Source organism: Homo sapiens, chromosome 1 (assembly GCF_000001405.40).
Source record: "Homo sapiens chromosome 1, GRCh38.p14 Primary Assembly".
In the NCBI taxonomy this organism is placed as follows: domain Eukaryota; kingdom Metazoa; phylum Chordata; class Mammalia; order Primates; family Hominidae; genus Homo; species Homo sapiens.
The window spans coordinates 230,355,633-230,374,338 of NC_000001.11; the positions used below are offsets into that span (position 1 = coordinate 230,355,633).

The 18,706-nt window shown below is 49.3% G+C and overlaps 1 protein-coding gene across 1 annotated transcript in view; it reads right to left on the minus strand.

Annotated features, from left to right (window-relative positions):
• PGBD5 (piggyBac transposable element derived 5) overlaps positions 1–18,706 on the minus strand; it is a 111,843-nt gene that overhangs the window by 41,143 nt on the left and 51,994 nt on the right. The window contains exon 2 of the mRNA NM_001258311.2: positions 1,262–1,689. Within this exon, the coding sequence (NP_001245240.1) occupies positions 1,262–1,689 (428 nt within the window). The remainder of the gene's footprint in view (positions 1–1,261; positions 1,690–18,706) is intronic.

Genomic DNA, 18,706 nt, shown 5'->3' on the forward strand with positions numbered 1-18,706 from the left:
ATGACACACTGGAGGATGAGGCGCAGTGGCATCTGGCTGCCCCATCAATAGTGGGGGGAATTCAGATAACAGGGAATCCACACGGGACTGTGGGCCTTACACTGGCCCTGGAGACTGGATGCATTTGCAAGGCAGAGAGAAGAAGGCGGCGTTCCAAGGGCCAGAAGGCACGCTGCAAACACTTGGAAATCATAACGAGCCTGACATGTTCACCAGACAGTGGGGAGAACGATCCAGAGAGAATGTAAGGCTCCCACAGACACGAAATAGGGCACTGCCTTCCCCACAAAAACCCTGTGATTTTCAGCTGTGTGAGGGGAAGGCACGCTATAGAGAGTTAGAGAGAGGACCTACAAGAGAATGGCAACAAGAATTGGAGGTTTATTTAGAAGAGCCTTAGAAGCAGCACAGGACAGAGAGATGTGCAGTGGGTCTTTAAATATATACATAAAATTGAACTGAACTTCTGTTGCCACACAGACCAAGTCAAAGGGAATGGGGCTCACATGGACCAAGAACTTCCTGGTTTGGGTTAGAGACATCTCTAGAAATTAGCCATCTCATCGGTTTGCTAGACCAGCCGGGCAAATTTTGAGGAAGACTCTGGAGTTCTATCTCCCCAGGGCCAGGTGCCATTGTCCCAGGTGCAAGTGGATACCAGTGGAAGGCAGGAAGGGGCTCGGGAGCTGAGAGTAGGCAGAACCTTTTCTTCTGGAATTGGTTGGGGAAGGTATTAGGGAATCAGACCAGAGATGCCTGGAGCTCTGCCAAACCCTCATCCAACAGCTCTGGCTCTGCTCTGTGTGGGCATAAGTAACCCCCGATGATCTGAAGAATGGTCCTAATTCCAGGCTCACTCCCTCTGCCACCCAGGAGGCTTCTAGCCTCCTTTCGTCACCAACAGGTGAGGCCACACTCAGAGAATATGACAATAAAATTAATATTCGCCTGAGCAAAACACCATTTGGAAAGTATAATTAAAGATAAGGAAGGAAAGGGAGAAAAGAGGCGGAAGATTGCCTCTCAGAGCAAAAGACTGAATTCTGACTTGTCTGAAGGCTGGAGCTATTATTATTACTCCCCTCCGATCTCATTTGGATTATGTGGATTAATGGAATGGAAGAATAGCAGAGGTGACCTTGAAGTGAACTCAGAGGGCAGGCAGGGCAGGAAGGACACCCCAAAGCCCTGCCAACAGACAAGGCTAGGCCGAGAGAGCGAGGACACCTGGACAAGCTCTTACGTCCTGCGTGGGCCTCACCTGGGTTTGGGAAGGCCTGAAGGCAGAGTCGAAGCTGTTCTGCAGGGAGTCGAGGAAGGGCTGGACCTTGTAGAGCCCGTGCGTGGTCTGGCTGGAGCGGAAGGCCACGACGTGGAAGTACTTGAGGATCTTCTCGAAGCGGGCCTGGCTCATGACGAGGGCGAGGCTGCGGTTGCTGTAGAAGCCTCCGCTCCAGATGCTGAGGACGGACTCGCAGTGGGAGATGCTGGTGGAGATCATGTAGCCCAGGAACGCCTTCATCTCCGTCAGCGTCACCTCCACCCAGGCTCCGTCGCTCCCAAACCGCTCCTGGAACTTCTTGGCATACATGTTTGTCTGCACCACCATGTTCTTGAGGACGTTGTCTGGGACAAAGAGCTGGAAGAAGTCCACGGCACTGGCGCTGGGGGGCATCTTTCGGGTGGGACCTGAAACCCAAAGACAGGTGGAGTGTTCCTTAGGACGGCCGCCACACCCTGACTCGACACGAGAACGGCTGCATTTCCAATCCCTGGGTCCCTGGCCGAGTGCCCCCGCTGCCTCCAGTGCTACCGCCTTCCCCTCCAACCTTCCAGAAGCTGCTGCAACCACCTGACAGTGCCGGCTCCCATAGCTTTTGTACGCCCCTTTGCTCCAAAACAGCCAGCTCTCCTGCTGTGTGTGTGGGAGCGCAGCTCCTCCCAGACACCACAGGAACAAACAGCCCTGACACCCGGAGTGCAAGCTGCAGCCTGCATCTCCACACCAGACCGGAGGACAGCCCTCGGGGGGCGCAGTCACGTGGAATCCCTGCTCTCCAGAACCCGTGTGGCACAGGGTGTCGGTCTAGGGAGTTTCACACACTCGGGGCACAAGCCGAGTCTTAACTAGAGATGTACACACACACATAAATGTATATGTTTAAATATATATATCATATAAATGTATACATCAACATGTAAGTTTTAAAATTAAAATGTGCATATTTATACATATAAATTAAAAGCACTGTCTGCCAGTCTGGGGTACTTCTCCGTACAAGGAAGAAAGCATGCATATACATACATATATATACACATGCATATATACACATACATACACACACATACATACATACATACACAGGCACACACACATATATACACATACATACATTTAAAAATAAATACAGATATTACAAATACATCGATGTATAAATGTTTATATATATATGTATATACATTTAAAAACAAAAGGCACTCCAACACTCCCCCCAGACAGCAGTGCACAGCCCCTCCTGTCTCCCGCCACGCCATCACACAGGGCTCCTCCCTCCCCTGCAGACCCCACGCTTTCCCTGGGAATGGGGGGTAGAATGCAAATTCTTACAAATCTGGCACATTCGGTAAATACTGATCTGAAGAGAAAAAGACACATAAGGGGAGGGAGGAGATGCAAAGACACGTGGTGTTTCTAACACAGGGGCATGGCTACGGCTTTCTGGCTTTCATTTTCTGGTAAGTTGAGGCGGTTTTGTAAGTAAAACGCTTTCATCACTTGGGGCCTGAAAAATTCCACCTAGGAAAAAGCAATTTTCATTAAACGTTCCCTATGTAGTCACTTTATGGTGACTAGGGACTACATCTGAAGGGGCTTATTCATATAATTTCACATATAGGATAAAACCTCACAATTTTTGACTAATGCAGCCCTTTGAATACACACACACACACCTCCCCGCCCCCCCACAAGATGTTTCAGTCAACAATGAACTGCATATAGGATGGTGGTCCCATGTAATTATAACACTGTATTTTTCCTGTACCTTTTCTATGTTTAGATATGTTTGGATGCACAAATACTTACCATTACGCTACACTTGCCTATTGTACTGTATTCAGTACAGTCACATGCTGCACAGGTTTGTAGTCTAGGAGCGATAGGCTATGCCGTATAGCCTAGGTGTGTAGGAGGCTGTGCCATACAGGTTTGTATAAGTATACTGCATGATGTCTGCACAACAAAATTACCTAATGATGCATTTCTCAGAATGTATCTCTGTCATTAAGTGAAGCATGACTCTGTGTGTGTACACACATATATTTTTAAAGAGCTATGGCTTACAATTCTATGTAGTAACCTAAGATACACTAACTATATGTAGAGATTTGTAAGAGACAAAATTTGCTTCTATTGCATCTGTATATTGATTTTTCTTTTCTTTTTTTTTTTGAGATGGAGTCTCTGTCACCCAGGCTAGAGTGCACTGGTGCAATCTCAGCTCACTGAAACCTCCACCTCCCAGGTTCAAGCAATTCTCCTGCCTCAGCCTCCTGAGTAGCTGGCATTACAGATGCCCGCCACCACGCCTGGCTAATTTTTGTATTTTTAGTAGAGACGGGGTTTTGCCTATCTCTGCCCAGGCTGGTCTCCAACTTCTGACCTCAAGAGATTGGCCCGCCTTGGCCTCCCAAAGTGCTGGGATTACAGGTGTGAGCCACCGCGCCCGGCCTGTGTATCGATTGCTAACAAAAGTTGTTCTCATTCTTCAGATTTTAATCATCACTCTCTCCAACCTTCCTTTATTACTGATTTAGACAGTTTCTGAAAAACAAGTTTCTGCAGAAAAATTAAGAGAGATAATGTGTATGAGACAGCCCAAGTTTTAGAATCAGAGTGATGGATGGGGCTCTGACACCCCAAATTTACTTCTAGCTAACTGCACAGTCTTAGAGGAATTTCTTAATCCCTCCTAGCTCTAGTTTTCTTGTAAAAATGGACACAGGAATACCTACTTTGAAAGGTTGTCATGCAGCGTGAAATAAATGAGATCATGTGAATAATGCACCTCACCTGGTGCCTGGCCCTAAGGGAGGTTCCTGAGGCTTGGTAACTTTTACCAAGATATCATCAACAGAAATTCATTGACAGCCAGGCCGAGGGCTTTCCAAGGAAGACTCTAACTATCTGCATTTTACAGAAGCAACAGTAGCCTGGAGGGTAAAGTGGCACCACATACATCACTTTCACCAACCATTTTTTGGGCACCAAACAGGTCTTGGAGGAAGAGGCCCTGGCTGGCATGACGATGAGGCCAGGATGAATGAGGGCCGATTCCGCAGGTGTAGCCTGAAGCTCCACACCTACTCCTAATGAAAATCATTTTATTTCAGCACAGCCTTGCAGCCTCCGGTGGGTGCAGCCGTCAATTATTCAAGGATAGTGCTCAAAGAGGAGGAAAACCAGCATTTTAATTGCTACATCATGCTGACGAAGCAGAATGGAATTTTCTCTGCTTAAAGTTATGTTTAAAGTAATTTTGCCCCCCAGGCCATTTCAAAATGAATTCACATGCAACCCCTGGCCTGGGCCAGCTGCTTCATGAAGGAACTGGGAAGCAGCCAGCTCCCTCTTAACTGTTTGGTTTTGATTTACAAGCATTCTCTAAGGCCTCTTTGAGTTGCTGGGATTACTGGGATTTGAGAAGTCCTGGCACAGGTGAATCACTGTGACCTGTGGAGGGAGGGAGGGAGGGAAGGAAGGAAAGAAATGCTATTCAGGAGTCAGTGATATGGTCTGGCTCTGTGTCCCCACCCAAATCTCATCTTGAATTGTAATCCCCACGTGTTGGGGAGGGACCTCCATGGGAGGTGACTGTATCATGGGGGCGGGTCCCCCATGCTGTTCTCGTGATAGTGAGTGAATCTCACAAGATCTGACAGTTTTATAATTGTCTGGCATTTCCCCTGCTTGCACTTCTCCTTCCTGCTGCTCTGTGAAGAAGGTGCCTTTCTTCCCCTTCCGCCATGATTGTAAGTTTCCTGAGGTCTTCGAAACCATGCGAACTGTGAGTTAATGAAACCTCTTTTCTTTATAGATTATCCACCCTCAGGTATTTCTTCATAGCAGCATGAGAACGGACTAATACAGTTAGTCCTTATCAACAACTTAATCACAGGACCATTGAACAATATGGCCCTGGCATGGGCAGCACCCCCAGCCAAGATAAGACTCGGATCCGTTTATGAGAGCTTCCCAGGTATTACCCATGTAATCCTCACAACATCTACGTGAGGCATCATCCCATTCGGCAATTGAGGAAATGGGACCTCAGAATTGGAAGGACGCAGCCCAAGGGCATCCACTCTAAGTGACTCACAGCTGGGGAGGCCTTCCTCCCAGGCCAGCCTGAGTGCACCTGCTGTGGTTACTAGCAGCAGCCCTTCTGTCCCTTTTACGTGGCTCTCCTACACATGGTACCTACATACGACTGAAGTCACGGGATGGTCTTCCCATCACCTCCTCCCTCTTCCAAACACAAAACTTCCCTCCACCTCCACAGTGCTCATGTGTTGCGGGGGATAACGCAGGATGAAAATGCATATCTACAGTAACTCTGAAGGGGAAGGGAGAACCTATGTGGGTTTAAAAAAAAATTAAAAAGCAAAGGCAGAATGGAATTGGGAAGGAGGAGGTGGAGGAGACCTAGAGGAGGAAGAGGAGGTGCTGCTTGGGTGTGCCTCGGTGTCTGGGCTAGGATGAAGGGTTGTGCATGCTGATGGTGCATTGCCAGACAAAACTCATACTGCCATGTCCTTTCCTTCCCCCACCGCACCAGGCCATTCATGTCAAGGCCCCCATCACACCACCTACCTGGGTTCCCCACTCCCTCAGACCCAGGGCAGCATGTATAGTGGCTTGGTAATGCCCAATCCCACAAAGGGATCCCCTCTCTCCCTGTTCCCAAGAGAGGAAACAGATTCCCTCTTCTCAGCAGTGACTAGAAAAGGAGATGTTCCATTTATAAAGGGGATTGTAACACAAGGGCAATTATGGAAACCACTCATTCAATGGACATTTGATCCTGAAAGTCGAAAGGAGTAAGACTTGATATTCCCTCCCCAGGAGCTGACTGGGAGTAAGAGCAGCAGGCAGCAGGAGCTGGGACCCAGGCTCAGAGGAGAGCTGTGCCTACAAGAAGGGCCCCAAACCCAGGCCTCAGGGTAGGCAGGATCCTGAAGGCTTCCTGGAGGCCTTGTCTGAGATGGGCTTAAAAGGGTGACTGGTAAAAAGCCATCAGCCCCAGTGGGGAGTTGCGGGGTATTTCCAGCAGTGAGAGCATCTCACGCAAAGGTCCTGTGGCCAGACAGAATGCCTTGAATTTAGTGCAACTGAGCAGGAAGGGGAGTGGGTGGGGCTGGAGGCATCAGTGGGGCATGAGGGTCTGGTCACTGTCACAGGGCTCACACTTGCCCAAGGGCGCGGGAAGCCAGTGAAGGGCTGTGAGCACCACGTGACCATGCTCTTGCAACTTCAGCAGGCTCACTCTGCTGCACGAGAGGGTGGGGGAGGATCTGATGGCTGTTCCCCAAATCAGGTGAGACCTGGCTGGGATTTAGCTTCCTCTACCAGCTCCTTCACCTCCATGCTCTGCACTGAGTTTCCCCACGGGTGTGCAGGGCACGAGGAATGGATTATAGGGCGGCCGAGGCGTCGACTCCATCCACAGCTGTCGCTGCCTCTGGCCTGGATGACAGACAGTTGTGGAGGCTTGCCGGGGAAGCCTGTGTCAGACCTGGACCGTGGCAAGCTCTTTCCCGCCTCAAGGCCTGATCCTCCTGGAAGGAAGCCCTCCTGGGGCTCCAGCTTCATGAAGCATCACCTTCTGGGGGAACCTCCTGACCCCCAGGCCAGCTTCTTCATCTCAGCCCTGACTCGGTGCCTCTCCTTGGGTTTAGCACAGTTCACAGCTGTCCCATCGGCCACTCATGCTCGTTTTTGGTCTGCTTGTGTGGCCCGTCTCCCGACCCCAGCTAAAGTGTGAAAGCAGAGGTCAGGGTTGGTGTGTTCTGTGTCCTTGGAGCCTCGTATACAGCATGTTTACCTCTTAAACCTGTTGACCGTTGGATGACAAAGGGGAGGGGAGAGGCCTTGGCCCACCCAAGGGGAGGAGCATCTTTTCTGTGTTCAGTGGGAAGCATTGGGTCTCTATGGCAACAGTCCCTGTGCTAATGCCTGGTGACAAGGTTAGGTCAGCCAGGGACACCTGTGCATATGGGGAGGCCTGAGTGGGTGGGTGGGACGAGTGGTGAAAGTACAGTGGGCACACCTCTCGGTCACATCCCTGAGGATGCCCACGCCATCTAGGAAATCAAGTGGGGGTGGGCCTACTGAGTCCCAGGTGAGAGATGGCCTGAGAATTCAGGACACACAACCTCTCTGCATCTCAGTTTCTTTATTGATCAAGTGGGAACCACCACCCCACAGCGGGTAAGAAGATCACATGACCTCGCACACACAGGCAAGAAGGCAGCTCTGGGCCTTAGCGATGCAGGTCCTGGGGGCCGCTCCTGCTCTCTGCCTTCATTCAGATCTGGAGGCCAGCTAAGCGCCCCACAGGTGGGACTAATCCCCACCCTTGCCCCATCAGGAAGAAAAGGATGGCTTTGGCCAGGCATGGTGGCTCATGCCTGTAATCCCAGTACTTTAGGAGGCCGAGGCAGGCAGATCACCTGAGGTCAGGAGTTCGAGACCAGCCTGGCCAATATGGTGAAATCCCGTCTCTACTAAAAATACAAAAATTAGCTGGGTGTGGTGGCGGGCGCCTGTAGTCCCAGCTACTCGGAAGGCCAAGGGAGGAGAGGTGCTTGAACCTGGGAGGCGGAGGCTGCAGTGAGCCAAGATTGCACCACTGCACTCCAGCCTGGGTGACAGAGCGAGACTCCATCTCAAAAAAAAAAAAAGTGGCTTTATGTGCCTTCTAAACTGCAGCCTTTTAGAGCCTCAAGCACTGGTTTTGCAGGGGTCAGTGAAAAGGGAATTTTGCATATGCTGATATTTTTTGGTGCAAACTGTCAGCCGTTTTGTGATATAGATAGAATCAATTAATATTTTAAATGAAGGGCTTAAGAGGATGGAATCATTTATCTCCAGGCTAAATCAAACAGGTACAAAAATATAACCAGAATGTGCTGCAACACCACAAAAATATTCCTATCATTTGAGACACAAAGTTACACTCCCTAAAAGGGCAATGTAGGAAACAGCCAATCTCGTTGTTTTCTCAATGCCAGCTGCAGCTGGTACTTATCTTCAGCTAAAGTAATCACCATTTCTCTCGCATCCCTTTTTCCTTCCCCCTTGTGGCTGAGATGAAGGACAAGCCTATTGTCTAGTTAGTAAACACCTGGGGTCCAAGTCTCAACTGTAGAATTCAGTCACTCAGTCACGAGTGCCTCAAAGACTTTTTCCCTTGCTCAATCTCTTTGTTCACAACTAAGTGACCAAAGTGAACAAACTTGATTCTCAGCTCTATTGGGGTACTCCCGTGGGGGTAGGTGCCCGTGGGGTTGAGTCCTGGCTCACTTCCGGACACCACTGGGTTTGGCACCCTTCGATCTGGGTAGCCAGGTGAAATAACTTACACCTAATTCACTGGATGGCTGTGAGGAGTGTGAAGGCTTCCCCTTTCTGCATAGGTCTGACCTACATGCCTACCAATATTCCAAAATTATGTTCAGATTAGTGTTAACCTCCTAAATGGTATCTTCCAAGCAAGGACATCTGAAGCTGCTAACCATTCCGTACAGCCCTTAGAAAACATGCAGAAACTGCCAGAAAACCCCAAGTATAGCTTCAGTCGCATAAATGTATCAAGCAGCAGGGCTTTCTTGTTAGGAATAGAGAAGGTACACTCTGCGTGCATGTGCACGTGTGTGTCTGTGCACTTGGAAGGTATTCCTCATGCTAACGCAACACAGTGGTTGGCAAAGAAGTTAGCAATAAAAATAAAATAGCTTTAGAATCAGCATCTGAGCTGAAGTTGTTCACAGGAAATATGAACCATAGAATAGTTGCACATAGTCCCTAAAGGTTTAAATAAAAGCTGGCCAGGCGCAGTGGCTCACACCTGTAATCCCAGCACGTTGGGAGGCCAAGGTGGATGGATCACCTGAGGTCAGGAGTTCGAGACCAGCCTGGCCAACATGGTGAAACCCTGCCTGCAATAAAAACACAAAATTAGCCAGACGCAGTGGTGTGTACCTGTAGTCCCAGCTACTCAGGAGGCTGAGGCTGGAGAATTGCTTGAACCCGGGAGGCAGAAGTTGCAGTGAGCTGAGATCATGCCACTGTACTCCAGCCTGGGCGACAGAAAGAGACTCCATCTCAAAAAAAAAAAAGGCCAGGTGTGGTGGCTCACGCCTGTAATCCCAGCACTTTGGGAGGCCAAGGTGGGTGGACCACGAGGTCAGGATATTGAGACCATCCTGGCTAACACGGTGAAACCCCATCTCTACTAAAAATACAAAAAATTAGCCAGGCGTGGTGGCGGGCACCTGTAGTCCCAGCTACTCAGGAGGCTGAGGCTGGAGAATTGCTTGAACTCAGGAGGCAGAAGTTGCAGTGAGCTGAGATCATGCCACTGTACTCCAGCCTGGGCGACAGAAAGAGACTCCATCTCAAAAAAAAAAAAAAAGCTAATCAATTGGCTAATATAGATATTAAATCCATAACCTTGACTAGAGGTCACATGACAAAGGGCTGGTGGACAGAAAAGGGGTGACAATGCCCCCAAAGCCCAATGTACCAACTATTTAAAGGCAGCTAACCTTCAAAACCATTTATCATACAAGGCACCCGTACACATAAAAGAGCCACTCTCAACACGACACGTGAGATTTCATTTCTGTGTGATGGCCAACTCAAGTGCCTTCCACCTGCAGATGACCTACTTAAAAACATCTCTCAGGAGTGCTCTGCTAGGCAGAGGTGGGCTTGACCATCTCTGAGGGCACGAAGTCAACCATGGAGCAGCGGAAAATAAAGGCTGGCTGAGTCTTCTCCAAGGTGAGCACTACACTGCCACACGCTCGGCTCGAGGGCCCTCCAGTCAAAATCCCCATCACATGTACCTCCTCCCATGGGGGTCCCACCTCTATGTGGAGTAGCAGCATTTGACATTCTATGTCATGTGGATGAATGACTCTTTGGATGTTGTCAGTGGGCAGAGATCAGGTCATGTATGTTTACACAGATGGAACAAAGGATTTTTACCCCTTCAGCCAGATCTGGGACTCAATGTAAACAGCAAGATAACAACACAGGAAGGGTTGCAAACATTGTGCCTAGCACAGGGATGACAGCAGGGCGAATCCTGTAATGTCAAATGTCAGTCAAATGAATGAACTCCTGCCAACAGAAAGCCCCATTGTGATTTGATTCCCTTACCAGCAATAAACTAAAAGGCCAGGAGGGGACAGGGCTAATCCATGGCAATTTGTGAGTCCTGCCATGCCTATGTGTGCTATGGTTCTCTTCAGTCCAGGCTGCTCATTAGAAAGCTCATCTGCTCTCCTCTTGACCAAGCTCATCCAGTAAGATATTAATACTTTGCTACCCAAACCATAGATTTCACTCATCCTTAGTACAAAACTAAAACATAGTGCTGTCTGTAGGGATGAGAGATGGATTACCTGCAGATGGGGCTGGGGGGTGGTGGGGCTGGATCCTGTTCCTGTTTTTTTTTCCACTATCTATCTGACTTCTGAGAAGCTGCAGTGTCTCTAGGTTTCAGTTTTTTCACTGGTAACTTGCCTATCTACCCAGCCTTATTTACCTTCTGAGACTAATTATAAGACAATCATAAGTACCTTGAGGAATGCAAATTATTATGCAAAAACCTCACATTATTATTCTGAACTAGTTGCTGTCCAGCAAAGCTGAGGTTCTGGACCAGGCTCCAACTCCTGGATTCATGAGATGTGTGACCTTGGCCAAGTTACTGTGTACCTCTTTCAGCCTTGGTCTCCTTGTTGGTAAAATGAAGACAGCCATGGTGTGGAATTCACAGAGCTGGTGTGAGGATTAAGTGGGATGAGGTGGCTTGCATGGTGCCTGATTTCTAGTAATGCCCCATAAATGGTATCTGATCACACCCACGACAGCATTGCTAATCCCTCATCACAGGCTTCTGTCCCCCTTCCCGGGAGCCGACGTACAGATGGCTGTTACGAAACAGCCGCCGTAGCCACCACAGTTTATATTTCATTTAGGCACTGTGTCTACTTCTCACGAGTTCATATTTTTAAAGCCTCTGCTTGGGTACCAAAAGGACGGCAGAAGTGTTTTTCCCACTTCCGTGGGACCTGACGAGGAGGAAGGTGGGGGTGAGGAGAGGCCCCATTTCATACACAGCGACCCACTGAGATGGGAGGGACCACCCAGGTAACTTGCTAATTTCTTCCACGACTTCTCAGCTTTCTCCCTCCCCGCTTATTGCTCCAGCTACACCCTCTGTAGCTCTTCAGTCGCAATCAAATTGGGTCCATTTCAGTTTTCCTTCTACTCGGGCCGCTGTTTCTTCAGGCTCCTTCCCCAGGCCTGCCTCCTCTTGTTCACTGGGCCCCAGCTGAGGCCACCGATGCCCCCAACGTGCCAAACCATGTACCATGGCACACGTCCTCCTGCCCTCCAGGGACCACCCTAGTCCTTCCTCCATGAAAGGCAATGGAGAAAGGGACCACGTCACCAGCCATGTAGGGAGCAATCTGAGTGATAAAAAGGATGCTGGCCGGGCACAGTGGCTCTTGCCTGTAATCCCAGCACTTTGAGAGTCCGAGGCTGGAGGGTTGCTTAAGCCCAGGAGTTTGAGACCAGCCTGGACAAGATAGTGATACCCCATCTCTACACACACACAAAAAGTCTGGTGTGGTGGCACACGCCTATAATCCCAGCTACTCGAGAGGCTGAGGTGGGAGGACTGCTCAAGCCCAGGAGGCTGAGGCTATAGTGAACCACGACTGCGTCACTGCACTCCAGCCTGGGTGACAGAGACCCTGTCTCTTAAAAAATAATAAAATTTAAAAAGGGTGCTCCGTCATCTAGGCTTCAAGAATTATACTCCAACAATGTCCTTGACAGAAAAAAACACTCCGGCATACTCCGTGGAGGCTCTTCATCATATCAACCACTACAAAGAGCATTCTCGCGTCCAATTTCATTCTCGCAACAGCCAAGCACAGGGCTACCAGACTCCCGCTCTGCAGGTGAATGCAGAGGCTCGGGGAAGAGAACTTGCTCAAGGTCACGCAAGCTGGCACACCAAGGAGCTCAAGGTCCTGCAAGCTGGACACCAAGGAGCTGGGGGTTCTCTTCCCCACGCCACACCACACCCCACATAGGCAGGAATGAATACTCCCTGGAAGGCTGGGTCTTTTTAGCTCTGTGGTTGCTTCTGATTTTCCACGGATGTGCTCAAGTTCTGACCACACAGATGGTGGTGGTGAGGAGGAGGCTGCGGAGGAGGAATAAGGTGGAGGAGAGAGAAGGCTTGGGGAGATGGATAAAAGCTGAAAGCTGACCACTGAAATATACATGGACTTGGGATTTTTTCCATGCCTAAAATAAATTCTTAGAAATGTGTGTTGCTGAGGCCAAGTGGCCCCTCCCCAAAAAGCAACCGGGAAGAGTGTGCGGCCCGGCAGGGCAGGACCAAGGAGTCTGACTGCTAAAGTGCAAACATGAAATTTTTAGAGGAAGTCAGCAGGGATTGGGATTCTGTCATTTATGGTGAATCCCTAGGGAGGGGTTAAAAGAAAAAGTGTGTGTAAGGTCCACACTGTCTGTCCTGTTCCTGGCTGCATCTTCAGGGCTTAGAACAGTGTCTGGCCCCTGGGGCGCCTCTTGCGGAGTGAGTGAATGAGTGGGGAAATGAAATGACGCAGGGGGATGATGACTCTTCAGGGCTTGAGCGTAGTCAGCAGCATCCCTGCAGCACACACAGAAAGTCAAAGGCATGAAGGTGCTTGCTAGAAAATGCTGAGGGAGAGAAGAAAAAGACACAGGGACAGGGTCGGTAATGCCTGGGCCAGGTCTAGGGTGAGGAAACCCTTCTGGCAGCCTGAAGTACAGGCAGGTCCTGCCCTGGTGAGGCCGGGGAAACGTGTGTGTATGTGAGTGAGCATGCACATGCAGAGGTAGGGTGTGCGCTGGGCCCAGGCCTCTTGATCCCCAAGATCTTGGAATGTAGGCCTTTGTTCTTATACACAAGTGAGGTTCAACACACAGTCTCAGGGATACACAGAATTGGTTGGACATAAAAACGTGCTACCATTTTTGTAACCCTATCTTAGCACTGAAAAAATATTGGGAGCCCAAAGAAGCAAATGAACAAAAAGGAAGTGGCACAAGCCCTGTCTTGACCTCTGGAAGGCCTTGGCCACAGGCCAGACAGAATGAGAGTCTCGGGTGAAGCCAGAAGACTGCAAGGCCCCAAAGGTTCTGGCTCTTTCCAACCCAAATGAAAATGTATGTGTCACATCACAAGGTGAACCCAGAACGTGGATGTGGAGGAGAGACCTGAAGACTTCCACCCCAGGACAGGAATCCCGCTTAAGAAGCAGCTCCTTGGAAGCAATGTCAAGGTTATACATTAGGACAATGATGAAGACATCAACGAAATCCACGTGGAGCCACACCTATAAGACAGGCTCATGGGTCAGGGGGACTGCTTGCCCTCTGCTCACCCCTCCATGACCAGGGGCATGGGCCAGGTCACAGGCACCCCTCCCCATCCCGGGCAGCTTGCTCTGCCTGGCAGGTGCATCACCCTGAGAAACACACTGCACAGGGCTGGAATCACTGGTGCAATCCATTACCTGCTTTAACAGCCATGCCAGTCACCTGCCAAAGGTGCGCAGCCCTGCTCTGATTGACCCCACACACCTGGCTCCATCTCTTCCCCCATCAGGCCCTCTGTGCTTACTCCGTGTCTGTGTGTGTGCTGGGGACAGGGAGAGTGTGTGTCACAATATATCTGGGGTCAGAGGCAGTAGGAAGGGTCCATGGGCAGGATCCTGATCCCTTTCCACAACCCTGGGGTACTCATGGCATCCCATGGACAGACAGTGCTGGTCCTATCTCGGCACAACTGGTCCAAGAAAAAATGAAGGCAGGCTGGAGTTGCTTTCTCCCTGGCTACTAATTATATCCCTAGAATTCCCTGCATACCCACCCACGCCAGGATGAGAGAGAGAAAGAATGAGAGAAAAGGAAGAGATAAGGAAAAGGGTAGCTAGGATGGAGACACAGATATCACGATGATGGAAAGGAGAGAAATAATGCACCCCAGCCACTGTCCGCCCAGGGGCAAATAAGTGACAAGGGCACAGGGCTCAGCTTCCTCATCTCACAAGGAGAGTTACGTTGATGACAGAGACGGGAGCCTCTGCAGATGCAGAACGTAACACGGAAAAGGAGACCAGAGGGAAAGGACGGGGATGGAGCTGCAGGGGAGCAGGAAAGATGCTCTGCGTTCCCCTCCAGCCACTGCAGTCAAGACAGGGCAGGGCGCTACCTGCCTTGCCCTGACACTGCTGGTCCCATCGTGGCCTCCAGGCTGTTGGCACCATCCTCTTCACATTCCCCATGGAAACAAGGGAAAGGTCAGCGCTGCGGTTCGTGAGCCGTGGGGACTCTGCCCTTCAGGTCCCACTGTCCCCTCCCCTTTCTCAAGGTCACGCTTCCAGAGCCCAGCTCCAGAAGTGTTGCCAAGGGAAACATCCTATTTATCAATAAATAGAAGCAAATCATGTGTATTTATTTTGTAGAACCAACATGCATATGGCTGTACGTGTTTATGTGCAGGCTTGTGTTCTGTCTGCTTTGCACATCACTTGATTCACTTATTCTTTGATGACAAATCTATGAGATCTGCACTATTCTTAACACCCATTTATCCAAAGAGGAAACTGAGTCAGAGAGGTTAAGGGATGTGCCTTAACTCTTAGCCTCTAATGAGGTCACAGAACTAGTAAGTGGTAGAACTAGAAATAGCCCAGATGGTCCAGCTCTGGAGTCTCTGCCCTTGACCACCACACTGTGGTCTTACTGGGAGACTGTGCTGTTCCAATGCCCTCACAGCCTCAACGCACATGGCTAAGAGCTGAAAGAGAACTCTATGGAAATGGCACGGAAAGCCAAGAGCCCCTTTGGTGTTCACCTCTCGAAGCTGCCCGTCTGTGATCTGGTCCCATGTATTAGATAGAATGAAAGCCCTCAGGCACAGACGGAGTAGGCACTCAAAACATGGTTGGCTGAATCACATTTCCTGGTGTGCCCTCAGGGCCTTCTTTTCTCTTCTGAGTCTGGACAGGACTGGGGCACTCATAGACCCTCTCCAGAGGGGCACAGTCTGGTCCCTGCTCACTTCAAAAGGAAGACTGATTGTTATTTGTCTAAACTCACCTCAGCTCCCGAAGACTTCTGTTTGCAAGAGAAGCAGCTCAGACAATTGTCTGTGCATACTTAAAATGAGTTTTAACTTTCAAACCCAAAAGCTATTCTAATTTTGCCCCATCTTATGGCAATTCTATTTTTTTTCTAAGCTTGCAATTATGCAGTTTCAGGATGGGGTTCTCACAAAAAGGAACACAGCAATGGGACAAGGTGCCCTTGGATGAGACCCAGTTGCTGGGCAGGAGGGGCAGCTTTCTTGAGATAGTCGGGCCAGGCCATCGAGCCAGTTCCAGGAGCCAGTTTCTGGCCAGTGGAAGGCAACCAGCTGGGACTTGAGTTCTAATTCAATCAGGGCTACTAAGAAACACCTATTCTTGGAAGAATTGAAGTCACAAAGGTTACTGCCACTTGGCTCCTGGACACAAGCATTTCACTGCTTAAAAGAGCAGACGAGCATAAACCCAGAGGCAGTTGTTTTGTTCCCAGTAAACCTGTTCAACTTGGACAAGAGTCAGATTATCCCTTCTGGAAGGCAGCCTCCAAGGTGGATTCTTTAATTCTACAAGGTACTAATTTTGAGGTGTCCGGTAAGTGAAGGGAACACTGACCTTAATTTGGAGCTGCCACACCACTGGGGATTTATGCAGGATAACATATTTCCAAGAGAAATTCTACATGTGAGGAAACAGGCACAGAGCTTGCACAAATCACTCAACATCATCTACCGAGTGACAGAGCCTGGGTTTGAATCATGATTCCTTCCCGCATGATGCTGCCCTACCGCGGAAGCTCGCCACCTCAGTGCAGTACCTTAAGTGCTAATAAAACCTGTGGGCAAGCTACCTAAGCCCAGAGGATGAGGAGGCTAGTTGGGAATGGAAGAGGAGGGGATGGGAATATAAAAGGTTCCCGTGGACAGGAAGCCCTACCCAACCAACACTCAGTGGCCCGTATCATCTAAGCGTTCCAATACAGTGCAAGTGATAGCAAGCAGGTCTTTTAGGCGATGCCCCAAGAGAACTGTCCATGACACACAAAGCAAATGCATTTCTAATGTCATCAGCCCAGAAAAGAACAAGCTGAAGGTGTTTATGATTGAAGAAGCAAGGTGCTCTGCAGCTCAGCTTTCACTTTCCGGCAAATCAAATCACCCAAGTTAGAGTGCACTGTGAGCCTGTTTACAGAGCAGTTTCGTTGCTGGTGAATTTTTCTGTATTCTCTTCCTGTTAAAGGGGATCCCACCTTAGACAGGTCAGTTGCAAAGCATAACACAACCGTTCTTGATCTTCATACAAAAAGACAAACAATCTAGAGTGAAACATCAAAAGTGAAAGCTGTTAGACGCAGAACACTATAAGCCATACCTAGCAACATGCAAGATAAACGTCCCCCCGCCATCATCCCACGAATGTTCTCTGATGTGATAAAGAGCTTGCTCCTGGAGAGCACCTCCACGTAAATGCCAAGAACACAGAATACTACTCTCCAATGGAAACCCTCCAACTGATGTGGATACAGTGGGAAAGGCTGCCCCACTTCTACATAAATCCTAATTATTTCACAGCCTCCTTAGAGATGTTCTCTGCTAACAGACTCCATGAGGGAAACAGTGATGGAGATGGAAGTTATTTACTCTACTCACCCTCGTCGCGCCATGGACTCATTTCCTGGACAGAAGATGATCAGAATAAATGATGTGTGAGTCCCTTCAGAGATCCTTGCTGTGGTCAACTGAGGTGCTGGGCAATGATGTTTCAGGGCCCTGCAGGTGGCTTTCTTCCTCCCACCTCCTCCCCTGGCCCAGCCTTCCTCTGTGGTGCGTCCCCCTCTCTACATATCACCTCCTCCCAGTCTAACTCTGCAGCTCTGCCAAGATCTTGACGGAGAATGAAACACCAGTAGATAAAGCCTTCAGGTCCCTTCCCAAAGGAGTTTTCACTTTAATAAAGGCTTCATGAATATCAAAGGCTTCAGCTTCCTAAATCACTCCAGTGGTAAGGTGAGAACAGAGTGGCCGCTAGGTATGGACAATGCCAGTGAGTAGGGTTACAATTCGTGCATTTCAGCTTTTGCTCAGGTGCTCACAGGAGTATCACTCAGGGTGTTTCCAAAACCACTCTGTGCAGGTGCAACCCGTGTCACCTGCACCTCACACACTCACCTCTTCAGGAATGAGCACAGCAGGACTTTGCACATCACTACACAATAGGTGTCAATCCCTGATCCAGAGATGGCAAATAGGTTTTGGGTCTTGTGTCGGCCCCAATAGTCTGTAGCTGCCTGCGCATGCTGTTGATGAGGGTTCTGAATCCCTGCCTGGGGCCTGTGACTGCTGAGCGATAACTGCCATGGGTGAGGGGGACGAGGGTGCCAAGGGCCATGGGGCTGCCATGCTCAGTGGGGGAGGGCAAACCAGGAAGACACTGTTTCTCCCCAAACATCTGAGCATGCTTAAAAGACCAGCTCCCAGTGTTATTCAGAGCTCAAGAAACATATTTTGTGTTTGTAGAAATATAAACAGGTACTAAATTTTTAAGGTGAAATATGACTTTGTAAAATGTTCATATTTTTTGAAGTTATTCTGAAGAAAACAATCAGCGATACATGTGAGGTTTTTTCTTTTTTGATTCAGTGTCTTGCTGTGTCACTCAGGCTGGAATACAGTGGCTCAATCATAGCTCGCTACAGCCTTAAACTCCGGGGCTCTAGCAATTCTCCCACCTCAGTCTCCTTAGTTGCCGGAACTACAGATGCACACCACCACACCCGGCTAATTTTTAGTTTAATTTTTCGTAGAGATGGTGTCTCACTATGTTGCCCAGGCTGGTCTCTAACTCCCAGACTCAAGCAATCTTCCTGCCTCAACCTCACAGGTGTGAGCCACCACGCCTGGCCACAAGTGAGTTTTATAACAGCAAAACAGGGCAGTAAATGAAATGCCCACAAATTGAGAATGAATAGAAAAAAGTCTGGAATATTCATGATATAGAACTCTCTCTACATTAAAAGGAATGTTCTTGAGGAATATTTAAGAATATAAAAAAACTTTTGGCCAGGCAGGGTGGCTCATGCCTGTAATCCCAGCACTTTGGGAGGCCGAGGTGGGTGGATCATGAGGTCAGGAGTTTGAGACCAGCCTGACCAACACGGTGAAACCCTGTCTCTACTAAAAATACAAAAATCAGCTGGGCATGGTGGCAGGCGCCTGTAATCCCAGCTACTCAGGAGGCTGAGGCAGGAGAACTGCTTGAA